Genomic DNA, 24,253 nt, shown 5'->3' with positions numbered 1-24,253 from the left:
AGGTGTGCCTTTGAACGAGGAGCACGGCTCCTCAGCAGCTTGGAGGCACTTGTAGGGCTTTGCACTTCCCTGGGAAGATGTGATGTGGCCCACTGCCAGGGGACCCTTGATAAATACGCTCCCAACGCAAACCCTTTAATGATGCAAAACACCCCACATACATTTTTTTCCACATACATTTTTATGATTAAGTTCACAAATAATATAATGCAGCACTTTCTAAGCAACACCTTAAGATTCATAATCCAGTTGTAAATCCTTCACCTCAAGAGGGACCCTGCCTGTGCTTGGGGCTCACATTGCTGGTTCTGGCCAGACCCCCAGGGAGGCCAGGGAAGCTGTGTACCCTCCTGCTGCCAGGATCCCCTCGGGTTCCAATCCCCCAAGGGTCCAGTTTACAGAAACCAAAGCCATCCAGGTCCAATCACTTGATTATGGAGGGAAGGGAAGTAGAAGGGGCAGACCTCCTAACTTAACGGAGGAGCGGGAGAATCACGGGTAGTGTTCATTATGCTCTCATGCGTTGGCACCACCTATGTGCCAGGCACTGTGCCAAGCTCTGAGGATGCTGAGATGAGTGAGGTGTGAATGGTGACACTGTAGGATCCAGATGAGGAGCAAGTTGTTCTGTATGAGATTATTCGGGTACTCGAGATGGAGCAGAATAAAAATAGCTACCATTCATTCATTCATTCATTCATTCATTCATTTATGATGGAGTCTCGCTCTGTCACCCAGGCTGGAGTGCAGTGGCACAATCTTGGCTCACTGTAACCTCTGCCTCCTGGGTTCACGCCATTCTCCTGCCTCAGCCTCCTGAGTAGCTGGGACTACAGGCGCCTGCCACCACGCTCGGCTAATTTTTGTATTTTTAGTAGAGACAGGGTTTTACCATATTGGCCAGGCTGGTCTCGAACTCCTGATCTTGTGATCCACCCGCCTCGGCCTCCCAAAGTGCTGGGATTACAGGTGTGAGCCACCACACCTGACCAAGAATAGCTACCATTTAATGAGCACTTAATATATGCTGGCAATGTCCCAAGCATTTTGTTATATGAAGCTCATCATCCCAACTCCATGTTATGGAAATCCTTAGCCCCATTTAATAGTTTAGCAAACTGAGGCTCAGAGGTGAATTGAAATACCCAGGGGCCTCAAACCTAGTGGTGACAGAGCTAGAAACAGAATCAAATCACTCTAGCTCCAAAGCATGGTTTGCTTCCAAAGACACACTCCCTTACACACAGGGTGTTGGAGCATGAATAGGAATGGAGCGTGAATAGGAATTGAGGGAGCAGAGGGTATTCCAGGTAGAGAGAAGCATCTTTGCAGAGACCTGAATAGTGAACGTTCCCTGGCATGCTCTGGGAATAATCATGAATGCAGTATGACTGGAGCAGGGCTACCTGGAGGAAGAGGCCAGTGTGGGAAATGTCTTGAGTGCCAGGCTGAAGCGCTTGGACACTGTCTCACAGGCATGGGTAGCCAGTAGAAGTCTGTGAGCAGAACAGTGGTGACTGGGTCAGCTGACTTCCGGGGAGCTGACTTAAGGGGCAGGGCTCAGAACAGGCTGGAGGAGCCAGGAGAGAGGCTGAGGGAAGGAGGCTTCTCTGGGCTCCAATCGTCTAGGTGGGTGTTGTGGGCCAGAGGCACTGCTCTTTGCAGACCCAGCCTGGGGAGCTGGCCTGGGATAAGCAGCAGCTGCTGCAGAGAATGGTGTCACCAGGACTGGTGCAGACACAAGTTTCTGCCACCGTGCCAGCCTGGGTGTCCAAGATGTCTCTGCCAGCCCCAGCAGCTGGGGAACGGGGATGGGGTTCAAGGCTGGCTCTAAGTACTTCTCCCAGTGGGGCTTGGGTACCACTGGAAGAGGCCTTGTCCAGAATAACACCCACTTTCTGAAGCTTCCCAGTCTCATAAAGTAATATCTCATTACCTCAATGATTTGATATTTATATCTATTTATAGATTATTTAAATAATGTATATATAATTAATATAAATCATAATTTATATTATCAATAAGATAAATTATTTACATATTAAATATCTAAGTAAATGTTTACCAATAAATGTAAGCATCTCTTCATACATTAGCCTGTGGGTTTCCTCATCTGTAAACTGCTGGCTCCCATTTTTGCTCAGTTTTCCAATGGTGGTTGCTGCTTTTTCCTGGGGCTCTTTAGGAGTCCGTTATATATTCTAGATTCTTGGCCGGGTTTAGAAATTGCAATGCTCCCATTTTGTCCTCTATCCTTTAAGCTTATCTACATTTCTTGGAACAGAAATCCTTAATTTTGATTTACTGAAATTCACCATTTTGCCTTATTTTTGTGTGTTTTGGGGGCTTTGTTTAAGAAATCCTTCCATATCCTGAAGTCATAAAGATATTCTCCTATACCTTAATTGAGTTCTAGTTTTCCCTTTTATGGTATGCTTTGATTCATCTGGAGTCCATCTTCATATGGCTGTTAAGAACCTGGTCTTTCTCTATTCACGTCTCCATTTTTCTCCATGGAGTGAGGGAGTTTTCCAGCACCATCTATCAGACAGTCGTCCTGACCTCAGGGGATAATGAGTTCTTCATCCAGTTCCCACATACGGCTCTGTCTATGAGTTCCCTTCTCTCTTCCATTGGGGTTAGAGCTTCTCACAGTGAACACCAGTTATTCCAGAATTGCCTGAAGAGCTATAACAGCGTGGGTTCCTGGGCCCACCAGTACAGCAGGATCAGAATCTCTGGCTGTGGGCCTAGGAGTGTGCATTTCCCACCTTCTGGCAGAGACTTTGCTGTGCACTGGAGTTTTATGAAGTATTGCTCAAGTGAAGACACTGTCCTTAAACAAATGGTTATTATTCAATTCCTTCAGTAAGCACTTATTGGGGTTCTGTGCTGGGCACTGGAGATGCTGAGATAATAAGGCATGTTCCCATTAGTCAGGGAGAAGCAAGTAAATGAACAGGTACACTGAAAGCTGGGCCCTCAGGGGACGCTGGGTTGGAGATAAGTGGGAGGCAGTCACACTGGTGTGTAGGAAGCTGTTCCAGGCAAGGGGACAGTGTGGGCAGAGGCTCAGGAACAGGTCCTGAGGTTAGGCGAGGGTAGGAGAGGTGCGGGCGGCAGGAAACAGATGAGAAGCAGGCTGGGGCCGGTCATGCAAGATCTCACACGCCAGGCTTGAGGAGCTGGGATTTTATGGGGTTTAACACTAGGATAATAATAGCTAACATTTCTGCAGTGCTTACCTTATGCCAGGTGGGCACAGTGCTCAACCCCTCACCTGGATTATTGTATTTAATCTGCACAAGGACTCTGTGAAGTGTTTGTATCAGTCCCAGTTTAAGGGGGAGAGTGGGAAGGTGAGGCCTTGATTAATTTGACTGTGGGGACAGGGGATGGGGACCCACAGGACCCAAAGGTGATGCATTAAACCAGTCCTTGAAATGGGGGCAGGGATTTGCTGGCCATCGTGAGGAAAGAGACTCCAGGTGGAAGCATTTGTGTGAACAAAGGCTTGGAGATTGGACTGCTGAAATCTGCAATAGCTGAGGCTATACCAAGGGACTTGTGTGAATTAGCAAATACAGCAGAGCTGGGCCAGCTGGCAAAGGCCTTGTGAGCCAAGCTGCGAACAGAACTGGAGGTAGCAGGGGTCTCTGGTAGGAGTTTAAGCAGTGGAGGGGCGTGAGTGGGGTTGGGCTTTAGATGATGGGACACCAATATACTTTGGAAAAGTGACAGAAACCACACCCTACAGATCCATGGTTACCTAAAACGCAATCCCTCACTGGCTGCTTGGTTCCTAACCTTTATGAAGGTCCTTAGGAAGGACTCCAGGAGGCCAGGTGCAGTGGTTCATGCTTATAATCCCAGCACTTTGGGAGGCTGAGGAGTGTGGATCACTTGAGGTCAGGAGTTCAAGACCAGCCTGGTCAACATAGTGAAACCTCATCTCTACTAAAAATACAAAAAAATTAGCTGGGTGTGGTAGCGGGCACCTGTAATCCCAGCTACTTGGGAGGCTGAGGCAGGAGAATCGCTTGAGCCAGGGAGGCAGAGGTTGCAGTGAGCCGGAGGTTGCAGTGAGTCAAGATGGCGCCATCGCACTCCAGCCTGGGCAACAAGAGCGAAACTCCGTCTCAATAAATAAATAAAGGAAGAAAGGAAGGAAGGACTCCAGGAGCAGACCCGAAGGGGATATAGTGGGGCCAGGAGCGGGGTGGGAGTCCTTTTGGCCTCTGCAGTTTATACTGTATGGACTGCTACCCCACCTCCAGATCAGCCCTTGCATGAGGGTGAGGAAACAGTTGTAAGGATCCCCATGGGTCCCCAGAGTAGACTCCCCTGAGAGAAAGGAACTCAGGTTTATCAGGGGCCTGAGCTAGATCATTTCAGACCTGGCCCAGGAGCCCCTCCAGGCAATTGTGGCTGCAGCCAGCATGCCTTCCCTGCCCAGGCCTCAGCATGGCATCCTTTGTCCTTGGCCTCTAGAAGGAATGCTCCAGGACCCCGCCCCCTCCACCATCCTCCAGGGCTGGCTGTGACTCAGGGCTTTTCTGTGTGTTCACAGATATCAATGAGTGTGAGCAGCCAGGGGTGTGCAGCGGGGGGCAGTGCACCAACACCGAGGGCTCGTACCACTGCGAGTGTGATCAGGGCTACATCATGGTCAGGAAAGGACACTGCCAAGGTAAGGAACGGGAAGGAGGGAAGCGCCCTGCCACCCCACCACCCACCTGTCCCTCCCTACGCACTGCCCACCACCAACACGCCTTCTGGCTTGTCTCTGCCCTGGCCCCTTGATGCTGAGCCCACGTCTATGGACAGAGACACCTATGAGAATTCCTGAGCCCTTCCATCCCCTCAGTGACATTCTGGCATCCTGTCTGCCACCTGCAGCAGGGGAGCATGAACAACTTTATCCACATGACACCTTAGGAACATCTCCTCTGTAACCTCCGCCCTGTTGCCTTGAAAAATGTGCTCTTCTCATGGGGCAGAGGAAGAGTCGGTGTGTCTGGGAGTGTCAGCCTTCTTATTAAGCTTGTTAGATTGTTAGCTCCTGAGGGCTGGGCCATATCTTTAGATGGCCCATACATGGACAACTGATAAGCACCCAATAAATGCTAGAGGAAGGAAGGAAGGAAGGGAGGGAGGGAGGGATTCCAGATCCTTCTGTCTTTCCCAGACCCAGCCAGAAGGCGCTGTGACATTGCTAACTGGTCTCCTCACAGACCCTTGCCTGTCTCGTGCCAGCTCTGAAGACCCCTGGCAGCTTTGCTGCCACCACGTCCCTGTCAGGCTGGGGTGTCACAGGCTTGTAGGAGGCCCAGGGCATTTGCTCTCGAGACTGGCTGGGACAGGAAGAAATGAGGGTAAATCCAGGCGCAGTCCAAGAAGAACCTGGCCCTGGGTCCGAGCTTAGGCTGAGACTCCTCCCAGCCTCCAGGTTTCCCTGGCTGGGACTTGCCTGCTTTCAGAAGGGCCTGGAAGTCAGAGAAGAGCTTGTGTACTTTGTGAAAGGACAGCTTCCCTTCCCAATACCACTACCATGGAAGCGAAGTCCAGAGAAGCAAAGGGGAGAGGTTGCGGCAGGTGCAGGACAGACAGCTCTGCCTTCAGCCCCAGTGTGTCACCTCCCAATGCCTCCCTCTTGGTCCTCCCCCTTTAAAACTCAGGCCTACCCATGACCAAAGCCGGAACCCACCTGCCTTGTCCTCCTTAGCACGATGGAGATAAGACAGCCTGGCATCTTCAGGAGAATGGAGAATGATGGCACCCACCACTGACAGGTGCCTCCTGTGTCCCAGGTGTCTGGGTTAGGTCCTCAATAGATTACCTCATTTAAGCATCATAATGACACTGTGAATTTGACATTAGACTTTATCAAAAAGAGAAGTAAAATGAGAGGAAATGAATCAAGAAAATACCAGAACATTAAAAACATCAGGTTTAGGCTGGGCGCGGTGGCTCACATCTGTAATCCCAGCACTTTGGGAGGCCGAGGCAGGTGGGTCACTGGAGATCAGCAGTTCAAGACTAGCCTGGCCAACGTGGTGAAACCCTGTCTCTACTAAAAATACAAAAATTAGCTGGGCGTGATAGCACATGCCTGTTATCCTACCTACTTGCGAGGCTGAGGCAGGAGAATCACTTGAACCCAGGACGTGGAAGTTGCAGTGAGCCGAGATCACGCCACTGCACTCCAGCCTGGGCAATAGAGTGAGACTCTGTCTCAAAAAAAAAAAAAAAAAAAAAATCAGATTTATATTAACCAGTCTGTGTGAAGGGCACAGGCTCTGGTGCAGACAGGCTTGGGTTTGGCTTTTGACGCGATGTCTGGAAATTGAACTGTAATGCCCATCTCAGAGATGTTTGTGAGCACCGGATAAGCTAATGTATACAAAGTGCTAGGCACCGTCTGGCACATACAGACCTTGAATAAGTAGAGGGAAATGTTACTGTCAGAGGGTAGTTCTTTTTCATGTCCAGGCTCCCCCATACCCCAGCCCTCTCCTTCCCTTCCCAAGGAAAGGTTCTAGACACACACCTCATCTGGGAGGTCAGGCAGAGTTCCTGGCCCAGGGCAGACACTCCGAGTCTGTTGAAAGAAAGAATGATGTAGCCCGCACACTTCTCCAGGTTTCCATCGGTAACCACAAGCCCGGCCCATCACCCTGGGAGCCCAGTCAATTTCCTCTCCCTCTTTCTTCTTTCTCCAACTCAGAAACCACTCTCGCCACTGAAACTGAAAGTCTCTGGTGAAAGGCTGAGTGGTCTGGACAGAGGCCCGTCCAGCAGTCTCAACGGCATTTCCGTCGTACCGGGACTCCAGGTTCCCACGGACAGGGGATAGACTTCCCTGCAGACTGCCAGGGCCTTTGGTGTCGCCCAGCCATAACCAAGGTCACTTGAGCTTCTGGCCCCTGCCTGAGTGCCTTCCCTACCCCCACCGCATGCTCTCACAACCACCAGAAGTGAATGCCTTTATATTTCCTCATCCAAAGGCTGATCTGTGGTTAGAGAAGCTCCAGGATTCTCCCAGCGAACCAACAGAAGCTTGGCAAGCTGGTCTCTGGATTGATTGTTGCCATGGGCCCTTTGGGGTCTCTTCAGCAGCCTTATACCAAAAAGATGAAGGGTGAAGTTTGAGGCATACTCTCCCACTCTTTGGTTAGCAAACATTTGTTGAGCACCAGCTGTGTCGGCCATGGGCTGGGAACACAGGAAGAAGGCAGATGGCTCCTGGCTTCAAAGACAGAATATTAAAACCCTCCAAAACACACCGTAATCTCAGATTAACATTCATACCCTAGGCCAGGCAGAAAAACTGGAATATTTCTGCATCCAGTGACTGGTTCCAGTCCAGGCACCAAGATGCTGGTGGGACAGCCTCAGAGTAGCTGGTAATAGAATCTGCTTCATTCGGAATCTTCCTCTGGCTCCTTTGGATTGGCTTGGCTAATGGTTCAGTTATATTCACTTCCACCAAGGAGAGCCCTTCCCTGGCTCGGGTGGAGAATGAGGGGCTGCTTTCATCATCTGCCCTCCCCCTCCCATTCACGTGTGATAATCACTGGCTGGGGCTCTGGTCTGAGGAAGGAAGCCAGCAGTGGCATGCCAAGATAGACAAGGTTATGCTGCGTTAACAAACAACCCCTATCTTATTGACATAGCAGCCAAGTTTGTTTGTTTGTTTGTTTGTTTGAGACAGAGTCTCGCTCTGTCACCCAGGCTGGAGTGCAGTGGTGTGATCTTGGCTCACTGCAACCTCCTCCCCCACCGGGTTCAAGCGATTCTCCTGCCTCAGCCTCCCGAGTGGCTGGGACTACAGGTGCCCACCACCACACCCGGCTAATTTTTGTATTTTTAGTAGAGATGGGGTTTCACCATTTTGGCTAGGCTAGTCTTGAACTCCTGACCTCAGATGATCCGCCTGTCTTGGCCTCCCAAAGTGCTGGGATTACAGGCGCGAGTCACCATGCCCAGCAGCAGCCAAGTTTCTATCTCATCAGTGCCACATGTCCATCAAGGGTCAGCTGGGGGCTCTGCCCCATGTTTCCTCATTGGAGATGTAGGCTAAAGGAATAGCCAGTCTCTGTGGAAGAATAAAAGAGCACTCTGGAGGGTTGCACAAATTAAATGGTTTGGTCCATAAATTATCCGTATCATACGCACTCACAGTTCGTTGGCCCTCACTAGTCTCATGGCTCCACCCAACCACAAGAGACTAGGAAGCACCAGATTACCATGGTGCAGAAAGTGGAGAGCTGGAATGCCACATGCATCCTAAATGCCCAGCATTAAGACACTACACACACCACCTCCAAGAGATGTGCCCAGCATGTTTGGGGCAGGACAGACTTCAGGGCCCTTTGCTCCTGGCAAACCTTATCTCCTTCCCACGTTGCCTGATCCCTGCAGGAAAGGTCCAAAGACTTCATTTTTCCTGGCATGGATTTAGGAGGAGCTTTGCCTCAATCTCGTTCTCTTCATCCTGGAAGAGATCATCTGGCATCCCTGAAACAGGGATTGCTGCTCATTCTCAGTGGCTTTGCCCATCCTCCTTCAAGTACCTTGGCCAAGGCCAACAGGTCATGGCACTGGCCTCTGTCTCTTGGGTGGCCAAAGTTAGTCATCTTAGATCCTTCATTTTATCCATCTCTGTCTTTACAGAAGCCCTTAGAATAGTTAAGGCTGGTGTCACCACAACTCAAGTAGGGGCTGGGGCTACCCTCTTGCCAGAGATGCGCCTTATCTCAGTGTCCCCAAGATTATATGGGAGTTGTGGGACTCTCCTTGCAGAGACCCACCTGAAAACCACCTGCCCTGTGGCGATGTCCCCGTCTTCTGGACCCTCAGGCAGAAGCTTTAGGCTTGAGAGGGTCCCAGTCCTCTGGGACAGAGGGCTTCGATGTGTCCTGACTTCTGGAAGCCAAACAACCTCAGAGAGGACTCACTTTCACCCTCCACTTTAAGGTCCATGTCCTCTCCTCTCCATGTCCAGCAGCAGTGACAGCTGCTGGCTTTAGTCCCTCTGCAGAAAGCCTATGTTCAGACCCTAGGCCTGCCTCCCACACTTCCTCCATAGGTGCTGAGTAGGTCCTCCTCTCGGGCAGTAGAGCCTCTAAATATGCATAAGCTGGTGGACTTCCTCTAGAAGAATGACAATTACCCATTTAGGAAGAAGAACCCCTCCTCTTTCCTTGGCCAATGGACCTGTTGTGAAGAGTGGGCCAGAGCCTTGATACCGGGCCAGAGGGGCATAATGTCCTCCTGCAGTGCTGACTCAGAGTTCAGTCCCTGTGACAGGACCTCCCTCACTCAGTCCAGGTCCCCTGGGTGCCTTGATGATGAAGCCCATGATATGCCAGGTTATGTCGGGGAAGAGCCCTCTCCTCGGCTCCGGGGAGAACTAGCTCCCTCCTCTTCCTGTTGCCACTCTCCCTTCCTGGGTCCTCTCGTCCCCTGGGTGTCCATTTGGTGTCCAGGCTTAACCCTTCTGGCTGACTTTCCTGGATCTCACCAGAGTGGGTGCCAGGATCCCTACATGATTCTTGGCTGGAAGAAATGTCTGACAGCTCTCCAGCAGAGAAGCTTTGCCAGCTCTACCCTACAGTCTGCACTCTGCCTCAGAGCTGGTCTTGGCCATATCCAAGATTGGGGGTTCCTCCATGGTCCTCATTTCCTGGTGCAAGGAAGCCCAAGTTGCCTTCACTGCCCCTCCGATGATCTATTGTGGAGCCTCTGGCAATCCAGTTAGCTGCTGTGCCAAGCACATCCCAGTAATGGTCACTGCTTATAAAGGATTAGGAATTCGCCAGGGGAGAGATGAAAGCCCATCCCCAACAGCCCAGCTCACAAAGTGGAGCCTCTGACCCTCCCACAGCTGGTGGTAACCATAGCCTACTGCACCCACCCAGGGAGTCTCCCTTTCTAATTTTTAAGTTCTTCCATCTCCCTCTTTTGTCCCAGACGGTGGGTGAGAGGTGGAGTTGGGAACACAGGGCAGCTCTCATTCTTTCCTAGTTTCCCTCTGTCCATCCCTCTCCCCAACCAAAGGCAGGGACAAGGATTTGCTGTGTCACAGACCTACCCATTTGCTATGTTCCCAGGGATGACCAAGGGAGGGGCTGCTGTTTTGCAGATATCAACGAATGCCGTCACCCCGGTACCTGCCCTGATGGGAGATGCGTCAATTCCCCTGGCTCCTACACTTGTCTGGCCTGTGAGGAGGGCTACCGGGGCCAGAGTGGGAGCTGTGTAGGTGAGGGCTGCTGGCCAAGGCACTGAGCCAGCCATTCGGCCTTGGGACCTCTGGTTGAGCCCACACACGGAAAGGGAAAGAGGTGGGCAGAGGGAGGTGGCTTGGAGGCTGTTGTCCTCCATGATCTAGCTGGGTTCCCAGATGACGCTGGGCATGAGTCGCCAGGGCTCTGCCCTCTGAATCAGCTAGGGTGGGGCCCTTTTCTCCTCTTTGGCCATATTCATTCTGGAGTGACTGCCCAAAGTCCCAGCAGCTTCTGTAGCTGGATCCTGTGGTGGAGCGAGGAGCCTAAGGGTCTTAGGATGGGGCCAGGCCCTTCTGCAGTTCCCAGGGAGGAAGGGTCTCCTGCTCTTCTGCATCTCAAAAGCAGCGTCTAAACTGCACGCCCACCGCACAGCGGGGCGCTCCTCCCTCAGAAGGGCAGCAGGTCTGCAGTAGGAGGCGTGTGCTCTTTTCCTGCAGCCCCCTCAGGAAGAAAGGCTCAGGGTTCAGAATGCTGGGAGGGACTGAGTGTTGAATAGACGCTTTGAGGCTCTGGAGAGGGCAGACGTTTCCCAGGCCCTCAGGGCTGCCACTCAGCCACCTCGGCATGACTGGCCTCTCTCCACGCTGCCCGCCCACCCGCAGAAGCTGCTTGTTGGGTTGGGATCGTGGGTTGTTTGGTTGGCCGGTAGGAGGTCATGTAGGGTTCCTGGCACACACAATGAGGGAAGTCAAGGGTCTTGGACACCTCATTTCAAGTATCCTCAGATGAGCCAAACCAGCCCCAGGGCGGGGAGACCTGGCCCCCTGCGTGGATACATGCAGAGTGCTCTGAGTTACTAGATAGGGCTGAAGTGAGCCCGGGGGATGGGACGCCCTGCCCTGCCTAGGTGGGAGGAGGGAGCATGGCCTCATGGCCTCCCCAGGTGGCCTGCGGCCCCTCTGAAGGCTGGTTCCCTGGCCTCATAACTGAGATGCTTGGAGCCTGCCAGCGGGGGCTGCAGGATGGGGAGGAGGCCAGCCCACCGTCTTGGACTTCTCTCCCACAGATGTGAATGAGTGTCTGACTCCCGGGGTCTGTGCCCATGGAAAGTGCACCAACCTAGAAGGCTCCTTCAGATGCTCTTGTGAGCAGGGCTATGAGGTCACCTCAGATGAGAAGGGCTGCCAAGGTACAGAGATGCTGAAGCGCCCCTTCTCCGCAGGCCGATCCAGCTTGTGGCTCCCTCCCCTCTGCACACCACCCTTGGCCCCCTGAATCCACCCCTGGCCTTGCATCCCTATTCACACTGACCCAACACATCCCTGCCCAGACCTGTCCTTCCCCCACCCCTGCCTACCTGCCAGTGTCCTGGCCTGTCTGTCCTGCAGAGTCCCACACAGAATGCAATGCCCTATTTCAGATGTGGATGAGTGTGCCAGCCGGGCCTCATGCCCCACAGGCCTCTGCCTCAACACGGAGGGCTCCTTCGCCTGCTCTGCCTGTGAGAACGGGTACTGGGTGAATGAAGACGGCACTGCCTGTGAAGGTAACCCTGGGGAGGCAGTGGTGGAAGGGGACAGAATATAGGCTGTCTTACCTCCCAAAGAACACTCAATTTGTCCCCAGTTTGGGGCTGATGCCGAGGGGCTCCAGGCTAGGCTAGAAGACCCCATAAATGGACCTGGCCCCAACAAGAGCTTCTATTGTCATAATCCCCAAGTTCAGAGTGAGGACAGGAGGAAAAGCCAGTCCCAGAGAAGAGGGAAGCTGAGGGCAGGGCTGTCCTGGGAGCGTTCTAGGGAGGGGGTTTTAGGAAAGCCCCAGGGGCTCAGAGAGGGAAGCCACGGTGAGGTTCCTGCATTGCCTGGGGAGTGGGAGCCCTCCTAGGTCCCCGGGCGAGCGCTGTCTGTCTGCAGACCTAGATGAGTGTGCCTTCCCGGGAGTCTGCCCCTCCGGAGTCTGCACCAACACGGCTGGCTCCTTCTCCTGCAAGGACTGCGATGGGGGCTACCGGCCCAGCCCCCTGGGTGACTCCTGTGAAGGTATGAGCCTCTGTGTGGGAGAGGATACAAATGGGATGCCCCCTCTGTCAGGGCCATGGTGAAGCCCAGCAGGTGGGGGGCTGCTGAGGCTGGAGGAGCTGCCATCATCCCGCTCCCCAAGAGTCGCTCACAAGCTTGTCCCAGCTGTGCTGCCTCATGAGGGGATGATCCCCCGTGGGTCCAGCTCTGCAGGCAGGTGACAGGTCCTCTGGAGACTTCCCCCTTGACTCCTGTCCTTGGGAGGTGCTGCCATCGGCTGTCTTCCTCCCCTGTGTGGCCCTGCAGATGTGGATGAATGTGAAGACCCCCAGAGCAGCTGCCTGGGAGGCGAGTGCAAGAACACTGTGGGCTCCTACCAGTGCCTCTGTCCCCAGGGCTTCCAGCTGGCCAATGGCACCGTGTGTGAGGGTGAGTGACCCAGGTCACCCTACTGGGGGTGGGGGGCATGAGTGTGTGGGGAGGCAGGCACATCCCCAGCAGACACCCACTCCCCATCTTTTCCCTGCAGATGTGAATGAGTGCATGGGGGAGGAGCACTGCGCACCCCACGGCGAGTGCCTCAACAGCCACGGGTCTTTCTTCTGTCTGTGCGCGCCTGGCTTCGTCAGCGCAGAGGGGGGCACCAGCTGCCAGGGTGAGAAGCCAGCACAGCTACCTCTACTGGCCAGGAGCATGGGAAGCCAGCACAGCTACCTCTACTGGTCAGGAGCATGGGCGCTACAGGCTAAGACTAGAGTGGTGTCCCTTTTAATACCAGTACTGAGAGCAAGTGCTCACGGCCCTGCCCAGGGAGGAGAAGATGGGAGCGAGGAGTGATGTGAGGGAGCCCGGGGCTCAGGGAGGGAGGGACTCAGTCTCTCACCAGGGCCTCTTCACGACGTTGACAGCAGGCATGCACCCACTCCAAACTCCGAGTGTCACTTCTCCCCTTTACAGAGCTCCAGTCCCAGGGACCCCACCTCACCCCTCACCCCCACCCCGGTGCCCACCTCCCACAGCCTGGCCTCTGGCTTCGAGCCTTTTCCTACATAAGCCACTCCCTGACTCTCCTATGGGCTACTCAGGGCCCAGAGGAAGCTACACAGGACCCTAACAGGGAAGGGACCCGTGGCTGGGTCTGCTGACAGCCATCTCTACTCTAGATGTGGACGAGTGTGCCACCACAGACCCGTGTGTGGGAGGGCACTGTGTCAACACCGAGGGCTCCTTCAACTGTCTATGTGAGACTGGCTTCCAGCCCTCCCCAGAGAGTGGAGAGTGTGTGGGTAAGGGCTCTGGGGGGAGGGCACAGGGCTCTGCCCACATCTGCCCATCTCTACACTGCCTGGTCCTTAGCTCCCATGGAGCAGAGCACTTTCCACAGATGAAGTGTCCAACAAATAGTGTATGTATTGAGACTCAGGGCTCAGGGGCTGTCCAAGGATGACAAAATGAAGACAATCATCATCTTCGTGCTGGCAGAGCACACAATCTAGTTTTAAAGGCCAAATTGATTCAATAGACATTAAACACCTGCTATGCTCAATGTCTTTTGCTAGGACAAATAGACAGTTATGGATGATCTTGAAAGCAAGGGAGACAGATATGAAGACAACTCTCTGTAATACACTATGCTGAAGGCTTCGTGTAAAGAGAAGTACAGTGCTCTGCTGGTAGGGATAGGAGACAGATGGGGGCAGTGGAGGAAAAGGAGTGTCACAGAAGGGCAGGAGCTCACTGCTTCCTAAATAGCATACGGTTCTCTTCCCAGAGGCTCAGCCCTGCAGGGTCAGGGGAAATCGTCCTGACCTTGATGTGCTGGGGTTGGGATGAGCACAGTAATTTGGAATAGATCAAGAACCCCAGAGGTTGTGGGGCATGACCCTGTGGGACCACAGCAGTGACCTGGCCACCTCTGTCCTCTCTCATGGCATGGCTCTGGGGACAGATATTGACGAGTGTGAGGACTATGGAGACCCGGTGTGTGGCACCTGGAAGTGTGAAAACAGCCCTGGCTCCTACCGCTGTGTTCTGGGCTGCCAGCCTGGCTTCCACATGGCCCCGAACGGAGACTGCATTGGTGAGTAGGGAGGGAGGAGAGAGAGGAGAGAGGGCTGAGAAAACCTATTTTTCACATATTGAGCGAGACATGATTTTCTCCTGAGGACACGATTTTTTGCAGCTGATTGTAGCTTGTATATTTTCCATCCAGCAGAGCTTATGAAAGATGCCACAGGACTGTGAATGTTAGGATTTTCTTATCCTGGGTTGAGAGGCTGCTTTTCACAGGTCTTGGTGCTAATAAGCCAAATAAGTATTCTCAGCAGAGAACGAGAGAGTGTGCATGCGTGTGAGAGAGTGAGCACACACGCGCGCGCGCACACACACACACACACACACACACATCCTCTATCCTGGTTCCCACTGTCCCACAGACATAGACGAGTGCGCCAACGACACCATGTGTGGCAGCCACGGCTTCTGTGACAACACTGATGGCTCCTTCCGCTGCCTCTGTGACCAGGGCTTCGAGATCTCTCCCTCAGGCTGGGACTGTGTGGGTGAGGAGCCTGTGGGCTACCCAAGGTCTGGGCCAGGGAAGGGAAGGCCCTGGGGTCCTCCTCCTCAACTGGTCCTGGTCACGTGGCTCCATCACGGGTCCCCAGAGCATGGGCAAGGGAGGCTTCAAAGAAGAGGGAGACTTCAACTCCTCGCCCAGGGGCACATGGGCCGGGCGGGTAAGGGGAAGCACAGCCGCGCTCTGCCAGCAGGGCAGCAGGTGTCCTCAAGCCTCAGAGCCTCAGGAGGCAGGAGGTTTGGAGAATGTGCACTGAGGGGTAACCCTTCCTCTTTGTGCACTTCTGTGACCGTTTGCTGCCACTCCTCTCCTTTTTTCTTCTTTCCCATGCCCTCTGTCCATTGGTTCCTCCTCCCTACAAATCTATACTTACTCTTGTTTCTTCCCCAAGGCCTAGCCTGCTTCTTTTGGGGGCAGTGGGCTGTAGTCAGGGGCAGGGGGCACGGGCTGCCTCTTTTCTGCCCACGAGCCTGTTCTCACACCTGGCAGATGTGAACGAGTGTGAGCTTATGCTGGCGGTATGTGGGGCCGCGCTCTGTGAGAACGTGGAGGGCTCCTTCCTGTGCCTCTGTGCCAGTGACCTGGAGGAGTACGATGCCCAGGAGGGGCACTGCCGCCCACGGGGGGCTGGAGGTGAGGCCTGGGAGACACATTATCCATGGTGACTCAGAGGTTTACAGAGAGCGTGTCCCTCTGCATCCCTCTACTAGCCTCTAGCCGCTGAGGGGGACACTGGGCCAGGGCCTGGGGCAGCATAGGGAGGTGCAGGCGGGGCCTGGTGCATGGAGGGGTGAGGAGGCTGAGGGCCGCGCGCAGCAAAACCAGGAGCTACAGGGTGGCGACGATCCTAGAGGAGGCTCAGGAAACCCTGATGCTGACTTAGGGTGGCCCCAGGGACCGCAGATTGAGCCTTGGAGGGACCCTGAATCCATCTAATCCCTGGGAACCTTCTGGATGAGAGAGGACTTGGAGCTGAACTAAACCGGGCTCTCCCTTTCCCACTTCCCACTCCACCCGAGAGCTCCTGGGTTCAGCCTCTCACGCCAGGCTGGACTAGGACTCAGCTGGTCTTCACTGCCTTGGGGGAAAGTGAGGGAGACGAGGAAGGGTGGGAGGGGCTGGGGTACATGTGAAGCAGAATGGACCAGAGGGCTGCCCATATGGCATGCCAGGCACTGGGGGCAGCCCGTCCCAGGGAGGCAGGCAGCATGGTATACCGCAAAGCGCAGGGGAGGAGGAACTGGGGTCAGATCCCTGCTGCACTGCTTAATAGCTTAATCGCACAGCAGTGGCGAGGCCCCAAGCCTCTCTAAGCCTCAATTTCTTGAGATGATGATTAGGCCACTTCTTAGGGTTGTGGAGAGCCTCAGTGAGGTAATACAGGTAACAGAATTTTTTCCACTGTAAAGTGCTACACAAATGTTAAATTTAAGAAATAAAGTCAAGGACTATTGACCCCCCTTAGAGGGTCATGAACAGACAGTAATGAGCATCTGTCACGCACAGGTCAGAGTATGTCTGAGGCCCCAACGGGGGACCATGCCCCGGCCCCCACCCGCATGGACTGCTACTCCGGGCAGAAGGGCCATGCGCCCTGCTCCAGTGTCCTGGGCCGGAACACCACACAGGCTGAATGCTGCTGCACCCAGGGCGCTAGCTGGGGAGATGCCTGTGACCTCTGCCCGTCTGAGGACTCAGGTAAGACCCCAAGGGTTCCAGATCCTCGAAGGGTCAGCTCTGCAAGGTGACACTGAAAGAAGGGGAGAGAGGAAGGGGGCAGGGCCCTCCCCACTCTGAGCTGAAACGCCTCTCTACATAGCTGAATTCAGCGAGATCTGCCCTAGTGGAAAAGGCTACATTCCTGTGGAAGGAGCCTGGACGTTTGGACAGACCATGTACACAGGTAATCTGCTCCATCCTCTGCCCCAAACTCCTTCACCTGAGTGGGCCCTAGCCTGCTCCTCCACAGGGTCCCTGGGGAAGTTCTGCATCCAGCCCTGGCCTCGCAGGTTGCCTCCACCTTTTCTGTCCCAGGGCTGACTCCCTGCAGAGTGTTAGCTGGAAGTTCTGACTCAAGCTGCTCTTGGAGTGTCCACATGAGCCTCACCTCAGTTTCCCTGCTCTCCCAAGCTGCACCTCCAGAAACAAACTATGATGCCTTGACTAACTCTCACCCACAGCCACATGTGGGCACAGGGACAGAGTGGAGAGCACTGCTCTAGAGGCCAGAGGCTGCGCTCATCTCCCTGGCCGCACTGATGAGGCCAGAAACTCTGGGGAACACACACTCACAGTAGGATGGTCCAGGTACTGCGCCCCTCAGCACCCTAGTCCTGAAGCTAGTCTTGAGAAGGAAATGATGGAGACAGAGATTGCTTTTCTTGGGTGCTGGCTACACGCCGTGCACTTTTTTGAGCACCTCACACATATTAACACCTTTTCATCCTTACAACAACTCTAAGAGTATGTAGGAACCGGAGGCAAGGCGAACTTAAGCAACTTGCCCAAAGCCACCTAGTAAGTGGCAGAGCTGGGATTCAAACCCAGCCTGGCTTTGGATTCCCTGCTCTAGGTACCCCTCATACTGCCTCTCACCTTCCTCTCACCTCAGCTCTGCCTTCCACAGATGCGGATGAGTGTGTGATATTCGGGCCTGGTCTCTGCCCGAACGGCCGGTGCCTCAACACCGTGCCTGGTTATGTCTGCCTGTGCAATCCCGGCTTCCACTACGATGCTTCCCACAAGAAGTGTGAGGGTAAGGACACACATGATCCCTGCCCCCACCCCAGGCCCACAGCTGAATAATGGCCCACCCAGCCCCTGCCAGCCAGTCCCATTATTGCTGAGAGTCCCCCTTCCTAGGGAGGCCGCCCACTGCAGCAGGCTGGTCCCAGGTGAAGGAGCTGTGGGCTGTCAGAGATTGTCCCCAGGAGGGCCTTCCAGGCTGGGCTGGGTTGAGGGGAGGGAGGCAGGGCACTAACTCTTCATTATCAGTGATAGGCAAACACCCTTCCCTGAGGGTGGTTGGTGGAAAGGCCACCTTGGCAATGCCCCACCCTTTCCTGCCTCCCCAGATCACGATGAGTGCCAGGACCTGGCCTGTGAGAATGGCGAGTGCGTCAACACGGAGGGCTCCTTCCACTGCTTCTGCAGCCCCCCGCTCACCCTGGACCTCAGCCAGCAGCGCTGCATGAACAGCACCAGCAGCACGGGTGAGTGGGCCTGAGCGTGGGGGAGCAGGAGAAGGGTACCTGGGCTGGGGGGCTCATGTGCCTCCGTGCCCTGTGCCACCAGAGGACCTCCCTGACCACGACATCCACATGGACATCTGCTGGAAAAAAGTCACCAATGATGTGTGCAGCGAACCCCTGCGTGGGCACCGCACCACCTACACGGAATGCTGCTGCCAGGACGGCGAGGCCTGGAGCCAGCAGTGTGCTCTGTGTCCCCCGAGGAGCTCTGGTGAGGGGGAGCAAAGGGGATACCCTGCAGGGCTGGGCCAGGCCCCAGGGAGGGGGATGCCCTCACCTTGGAACTGGGGATCTAGAAAGAAGGAGCAGAGCAAAGGCCCTGTCTTCCATCCCTGCTGTTTGGGGACAAAGTAGGGCAGGGGAGAGGTGGGGAGAGGAATGTTGCCAGGATCTCCCAGAGGGTACCAGTCCTTGCATGCTCCCAGAGACAAAGCCAGCCAGGCTTTAGCTGGCAGGAGCTAGAACCCAGCTCCTTCTCTCCCTCCTCCCTGACAGAGGTCTATGCTCAGCTGTGCAACGTGGCTCGCATTGAGGCAGAGCGGGAGGCCGGGGTCCACTTCCGGCCAGGCTATGAGTATGGCCCCGGGCCCGATGACCTGCACTACAGCATCTATGGCCCAGATGGGGCCCCCTTCTACAACTACCTGGGCCCCGAGGACACCGTCCCTGAGCCTGCCTTCCCCAACACAGCCGGTCACTCAGCGGACCGCACACCCATCCTTGAGTCTCCTTTGCAGCCCTCAGAACTCCAGCCCCACTACGTGGCCAGCCATCCAGGTCTGTGTTGCTGCAAAACTGGGGAAGAGGTGGGCACCAAAGCTGTTTCACTTCCATCTCCTCCACCTGCTAGTCATATTGCCAGCAGGGTGAGGACTGGGAAGGGGAAAGACACACCAAGCCAGAGGTCCCCGTTCACGGCTCGCTTGAGACAAGTACATACGCCCAGGTCCGACCCTAACAACTCCGTCATAAACTATCACAGGGACACAAAAAGGTACAGGACACTGCCCCTGTCCCAACCTACAAGCTTCCTGTGGGGACTGAGAGAGAGAGAGAAAGCTGTTCACTGCAGTCTTTTTCTCCCTCCACGCCACCTACAGGCTGCAGAATAACCTGCTCTAAGGACACCCAGCATTCACACTTGTGACCTGAAGTGTGGATTAAGGTTTTCTAAGGACTTTAAAGGCCCACCGTGATGACTCGGTTTGTGAATGGTGCGATCCAAACACTCAGGCCTTGGAGTCTAATGAGGAAGTCAAGCCTAGCACTGTGCCATGCACACGGTACCCACCACAGGCAAAGCTACCACATCAGACTAAAACCATACCTCTGGGTAGGGTGTGGCCTTTTCCATGGGGTGGAGGGGTGCTTAGGGAGTGAAGAGGGTTAGGTAGATCTGGTCAATGTTTTGCTTTGTGTTGAGTGAGGCCCCTCTGCTACCAATTGTTCCCCACTTCCCAAAAACACGATGTGAAGGTTTAAACAAAACACCTCACCCCTTCCCCACGCCCAAACCCAAAAACTATGTAGCAACACACTCCTCGACCACCCAAACCCCAGCAGGAGCCGGGCATTGTGGAAGCAGCGAGTCTCAGCCTCCCTGGAGCCCTCATTTGAAGCCCAGAGCACCTCTCCCCATCTAAAATGACACATACTTTTTTTTTCAAGAGTACTGCCTTTTGTTCTAGCATCTTTCCACAAGAATTTTATGATCCTCTCTGCCCCCACCCCCACAGTTCCACAGGGGCACCCTTTGTCCAGAAGGGCGAGGGTCCCAGCATTAGGGAGAGTCTGGACACAGCCCTCAGCCTCCTCCTCTCTCCGATTTCCTCCTCCCAGAGCCCCCAGCCGGCTTCGAAGGGCTTCAGGCGGAGGAGTGCGGCATCCTGAACGGCTGTGAGAATGGCCGCTGTGTGCGCGTGCGGGAGGGCTACACCTGTGACTGTTTTGAGGGCTTCCAGCTGGATGCGGCCCACATGGCCTGCGTAGGTAAGTGCAGAATTCTGATGGAGGAGTCAGGCTGGCCCACTGCCCACAGAGACGCCTGAACTCAGGAAGGCTGGAAGAGCCACTGCTGCCTCCTAGTGGGGCTGTCTGCATCAGGCTGGAAGGGAAGAAAGCGCCAAAGGAAGGTTTAATTATGTGCTTTAGAAAGCCCCTTCCGTGCAGGTTCCCAGACAAAAGACAAGGACAAGAGAGCACGGTCTTGGGCATGGTATGAGCTTGCTGCCCCCTGCTTTGTCCTTGAGTTGCTTGGTTTTGGGAAGTGACTTCAGCCTCTGGCTGTCACACTTAGGGTTTCACTCTAGGGCAGTGGCCAGGGCTTACTAACCAGAGAGGTGGAGGCAGCCAGCAGAGGCACCTGGGCTCCCTACAGCACTCTCCTTTGTTTCCTCTTAGATGTGAATGAGTGTGATGACTTGAACGGGCCTGCTGTGCTCTGTGTCCATGGTTACTGCGAGAACACAGAGGGCTCCTACCGCTGCCACTGCTCCCCGGGATATGTGGCTGAGGCAGGGCCCCCCCACTGCACTGCCAAGGAGTAGCAGTCAGGGGTCAGTGTGGCAACTACCTGGAAATGGCCTCCAGTCACAGGCAGGGGCCTTGAGGATGATTTCCTAGCTGGGAAGACACCGTGACATCAGGCCAGAGGTTTCCAATCAGCCTTGCCTGCTTTCATCTCTCCCAGCTTAGCCTCTGGCTGTAAGCTTCGGTCATTGCCTCCATGCCCTTGCTTGGCTCAAGCACCACCAATCGCTTTAATGCTTCAGCCACCGCATGAGGCCCTGTCCACCACCTTTCCTGGCCTTGCTATGGGATGCTTACCAAAGGATGGCCCTCATCCACCCTCCCAAGCTGTGCGAGCATGCAAGGCCCCATGGCCTCACACTGCAGACACCCCTTTCCAGCCACAATCCACCATCATCCTGACGATCCCACAACTGGGACAGAGGCTACATCTGCCCTAGGGAGGTCCTTCAGAATCTGTGGAGCAAGAAAGGATTTGGGGAAGCTTGGGGACTGACTCCAGAGCCCCCTCCTAAGAACCATCACCACCACTCAGCCAATCTGTTCTGGGCCCTGATTTTGCCACACCTCCATCCTGTAGCCCATTCTCTGACCCCAAGGAGTGGCAGAAGATCCCTTCACTCAGAGAAGCAAGGCTGATATTAGCTTGTTGAATGTAAGAGACACAAATGAAGAAGAACAAAGAGCCTGAGAAAGCAGCAAGAGGACATGATGAAAAATACGTGGAGTTGATGAGAAAGGGGAGCCAAGGCTTTATACGTCTAAAGAAAATATTCAGTAGCTGAATCCGCCCAGTGATAGCCTGTGGGCACCAGCAGCAAGGGCTGCCATGGGATACAGCACCCATCTACAAAGACCTCTATTACATAAACACTGCTTCTTACAGGAAACAAACCTCTTCTGGGATCTCCTTTTGTGAAAACCAGTTTGATGTGCTAAAAGTAAAAAGTCTATTTTCCAGTGTGGTCTTGTTCAGAAGCAGCCAGATTTCCAATGTTGTTTTTCCCCTCCACTCAGAAACCCCTGCCCTTTCCCTTCAGAAAACGATGGCAGGCATTCCTCTGAGTTTACAAGCAGAGACTCACTCCAACCCAAACTAGCTGGGAGTTCAGAACCATGGTGGAATAAAGAAATGTGCATCTGGTCTCTTCTGTTGTTTTTATTTCATATCAGATTAAATTTCTTTACCATGTTGGCTAAGTCTAAATATTAGAGATGAGGCTGTGCCTACTCCCTGGCCAGCTCTGCTGATAGCCTATGATGGGTTCCAATGGGAAATGACTCTTTACTATTAAAAGACAAGGAAAGCTCTGACTTCGTACTTCTCTGATGAATGGCAATGTAAATGAACAAGGCTCCATGTGACTGGAGCATGGAAGTGAATGCTACTTTCTTAATTTAATCTGCCCTGTCCTACCTGCTCCTCTGATTGTTAGCCATCACATAACTTATTGAATGCTTGCCATGTGCCAGGCACTGTGCTGAGTGCCATACATACATTTCATTTAATTATCCAATAATCCTACTTACTATTGTTTATTCTCAATTTACAGGTGAGGAAACTGAGACATAGAAAGCTTAAATAATTTGCTCTAGGTCCCTATACTAATTGAGATGTTTTCAGCAGACAAAAATAAGTCACTCTTACGCATGTAAAAATATTCTTTCACTCATAATAAAAGAAATGCAACTTAAAACCATACTGAGATCCTTTTTAAAACTGTCAGATTGGCAAAGATCAAAAAGCTTGTTAAGACTCCTAGCTGGCAAGCATGTGGGAAATAGGTACTCTCATAACAGCTGACAGAAGTACATATTGAAGAGGACAATATGGCAATGTCCTTCAAAATTATAAAAGCACTAACTCTTTGATCCAGTAGTTTCCACTTCTAGGAACTTAACCTTCAGATATATTTTCACCAGATATAAAATGACATACGTAAGAAGTTATTACTGCATCATTTGTAATAGCTAAAGATTAGAAACAATTAATTGCTATGGAACCCTTAAAAAAGGTGGCTCTAAATTCCTTAAGAAAGATATCCAAAACAAATTAAGGGGAAAAGGGAGGGTTGCATAACAGCATGTAACATAACACTATTTGTCTAAAGAATGGGGAAAGAGAAGCGGTTGTCTGTTCACCTCATCCTTGCCACTCCGCCTTATACCTCACCATCGGAGAACTTACCATCCCCCAAATATATCCTGCTGGCACTACACCTTCGTAACTGCTGTTCCCACTGCCCCCACAACACTCCAATCTCCACCTTCCTGCCAACCTTGAGATATTGTATGCATATATACATATTTCCTTTGTTTAAAATACAAATAGCATACTATGCATGCTGTTCTGCACTTTGCTTTTTTTTTATACTTGCAATTAGAGCTGCCTCATTTCATTTTACAGCTGTATACTATTCCATTGAATGGATAAACCATAATTTATTTAATCAGTCCCTCACTGACAGACGTTTCCATTGTTTCCTGTCTTTTGCTATAAATAATGCTGTAATGAATATTCTTGTGCATATTTCACATTAATTTATGGGATTACATCTGCAGGATAAATTCTTAGAACCAATGGTGGTTTGTGGGGAGGGTGACAGGGTGGATAGGTACAGGATTGGGAGACTTTTCACTGTATCTCCTTTTGTATTTTTTTGAATTTTGTACCATATGTATCACCTATTCAAAAAAAATAAAATATTTTTAAATACAGTTGCTGGCCAAAGATTGCTTAAATGCTCCTTCTCTTTATATATTTATCTGACTATAATTTACAACTAAAGCCAGGTGCTAATTATGTCAAAATTCCTTAATGCAAATTTGTCAGGCAGCCCTGTGGCATTTTTATGAAGAGTGGAAAATACGGATTTTAAAAGAACGATCATAAACATCAATGCTAGATAGGAAGAAAAATAGAAGAGATTCCTTCCTTTCAGACAAAACATGCAGTGAACAGTGTTAGGCCCTGCCCAAAGCCAGCTGCACAACATTAGCTTGGGTCCAGATTTCAAGGGAGAGCTGTACCACCACGATCAGTGCTGCCCACTTCCCTATACCAGGTTGATCCTGCCAAATGCCACCCCTGCACTCTAATGCTTTATAACAAACGACAAAACAACAGAGCTCGATTCTCAGAAGTTACAGAAAGAAGAGTCTCTTCCTGAACACCTACTTTAGTAGTCCTTCCTAATCTTTTACTTCTCAACTTCTTTCCTCCTATCCCTTGTAATCACTCAACATTCCCATACGAAGAAACTATGGGTGGGCCAGGCATGGTGGCTCGTGCCTGTAATACCGGCACTTTGGGAGGCTGAGGCAGGAGGATTGCTTGAGCCCAGGAGTTCGAGACTCCTGTGCAACATGGTGAAACCCCATCTCTACAAAAAATACAAAAAGTAGCTGGGCTTGGTGGTGTGCACCTGTAGTCCTAGCTACTTGCAGGGGCTGAGGTGGGAAGATTGTTTGAGCCTGGGAGGTAGAGGCTGCACCTCTGCACTCCAGCCTAGGAGACAGATTGAGACCCTGCCTCAAATAAAAAGAAAGAAACTAAGAGTGGATGGGACACATAATTTACATACCCTTGGTCACTCTCATCACATAACTCAAGTATGGTACCACAATAAGATCTGGGCATTG

General features: G+C 52.8%; 1 protein-coding gene and 1 long non-coding RNA gene across 2 annotated transcripts in view, besides 5 other annotated features; one reads left to right on the top strand and one right to left on the bottom strand.

The window, feature by feature from the left end:
• The window catches only part of LTBP2 (latent transforming growth factor beta binding protein 2), a 114,055-nt gene extending 90,726 nt beyond the window's left edge, over positions 1-23,329 (top strand). The window contains exons 18-36 of the mRNA NM_000428.3: positions 4,571-4,690; positions 10,148-10,267; positions 11,299-11,421; positions 11,653-11,778; positions 12,149-12,274; positions 12,560-12,682; positions 12,783-12,908; positions 13,417-13,539; positions 14,202-14,333; positions 14,689-14,814; positions 15,321-15,464; positions 16,338-16,529; positions 16,651-16,734; positions 17,458-17,586; positions 17,906-18,043; positions 18,126-18,293; positions 18,578-18,859; positions 19,922-20,071; positions 20,483-23,329. Of these exons, the coding sequence (NP_000419.1) occupies positions 4,571-4,690; positions 10,148-10,267; positions 11,299-11,421; positions 11,653-11,778; positions 12,149-12,274; positions 12,560-12,682; positions 12,783-12,908; positions 13,417-13,539; positions 14,202-14,333; positions 14,689-14,814; positions 15,321-15,464; positions 16,338-16,529; positions 16,651-16,734; positions 17,458-17,586; positions 17,906-18,043; positions 18,126-18,293; positions 18,578-18,859; positions 19,922-20,071; positions 20,483-20,628 (2,678 nt within the window). The 3' untranslated portion in view covers positions 20,629-23,329. The remainder of the gene's footprint in view (positions 1-4,570; positions 4,691-10,147; positions 10,268-11,298; positions 11,422-11,652; positions 11,779-12,148; positions 12,275-12,559; positions 12,683-12,782; positions 12,909-13,416; positions 13,540-14,201; positions 14,334-14,688; positions 14,815-15,320; positions 15,465-16,337; positions 16,530-16,650; positions 16,735-17,457; positions 17,587-17,905; positions 18,044-18,125; positions 18,294-18,577; positions 18,860-19,921; positions 20,072-20,482) is intronic.
• Positions 2,194-6,620, bottom strand: LOC124903347 (uncharacterized). Its single transcript, XR_007064266.1, has 3 exons — positions 6,551-6,620; positions 5,708-5,862; positions 2,194-2,908 (listed from the first exon to the last, which is right to left on the bottom strand). It is a non-coding gene; the product is annotated as an uncharacterized LOC124903347 (long non-coding RNA).
• Positions 10,667-11,542: an enhancer, noted in NCBI's record as "H3K4me1 hESC enhancer chr14:74976673-74977548 (GRCh37/hg19 assembly coordinates)". NCBI's record gives its function as "activates a minimal SCP1, AML or CMV promoter by ChIP-STARR-seq in primed H9 embryonic stem cells {active_cell/tissue: H9 hESC(primed)}" and the evidence as "EXISTENCE:reporter gene assay evidence [ECO:0000049][PMID:30033119]".
• Positions 14,331-14,840: an enhancer, noted in NCBI's record as "H3K4me1 hESC enhancer chr14:74973375-74973884 (GRCh37/hg19 assembly coordinates)". NCBI's record gives its function as "activates a minimal SCP1, AML or CMV promoter by ChIP-STARR-seq in naive H9 embryonic stem cells {active_cell/tissue: H9 hESC(naive)}" and the evidence as "EXISTENCE:reporter gene assay evidence [ECO:0000049][PMID:30033119]".
• Positions 18,309-19,003: an enhancer, noted in NCBI's record as "H3K4me1 hESC enhancer chr14:74969212-74969906 (GRCh37/hg19 assembly coordinates)". NCBI's record gives its function as "activates a minimal SCP1, AML or CMV promoter by ChIP-STARR-seq in primed H9 embryonic stem cells {active_cell/tissue: H9 hESC(primed)}" and the evidence as "EXISTENCE:reporter gene assay evidence [ECO:0000049][PMID:30033119]".
• Positions 20,413-21,408: an enhancer, noted in NCBI's record as "NANOG-H3K27ac-H3K4me1 hESC enhancer chr14:74966807-74967802 (GRCh37/hg19 assembly coordinates)". NCBI's record gives its function as "activates a minimal SCP1, AML or CMV promoter by ChIP-STARR-seq in primed H9 embryonic stem cells {active_cell/tissue: H9 hESC(primed)}" and the evidence as "EXISTENCE:reporter gene assay evidence [ECO:0000049][PMID:30033119]".
• Positions 20,432-20,726: a silencer, noted in NCBI's record as "tiled region #8112; HepG2 Repressive non-DNase unmatched - State 12:CtcfO, and K562 Repressive non-DNase unmatched - State 13:Ctcf". NCBI's record gives its function as "represses a minimal TATA promoter and a strong SV40 promoter by Sharpr-MPRA in HepG2 and K562 cells {active_cell/tissue: HepG2 | K562}" and the evidence as "EXISTENCE:reporter gene assay evidence [ECO:0000049][PMID:27701403]".

This window comes from Homo sapiens, chromosome 14 (genome assembly GCF_000001405.40).
Source record: "Homo sapiens chromosome 14, GRCh38.p14 Primary Assembly".
NCBI lineage: Eukaryota > Metazoa > Chordata > Mammalia > Primates > Hominidae > Homo > Homo sapiens.
The sequence above is the reverse complement of the archived record's forward strand: the minus strand, read 5'-3'. Positions and strand labels throughout refer to the sequence as shown.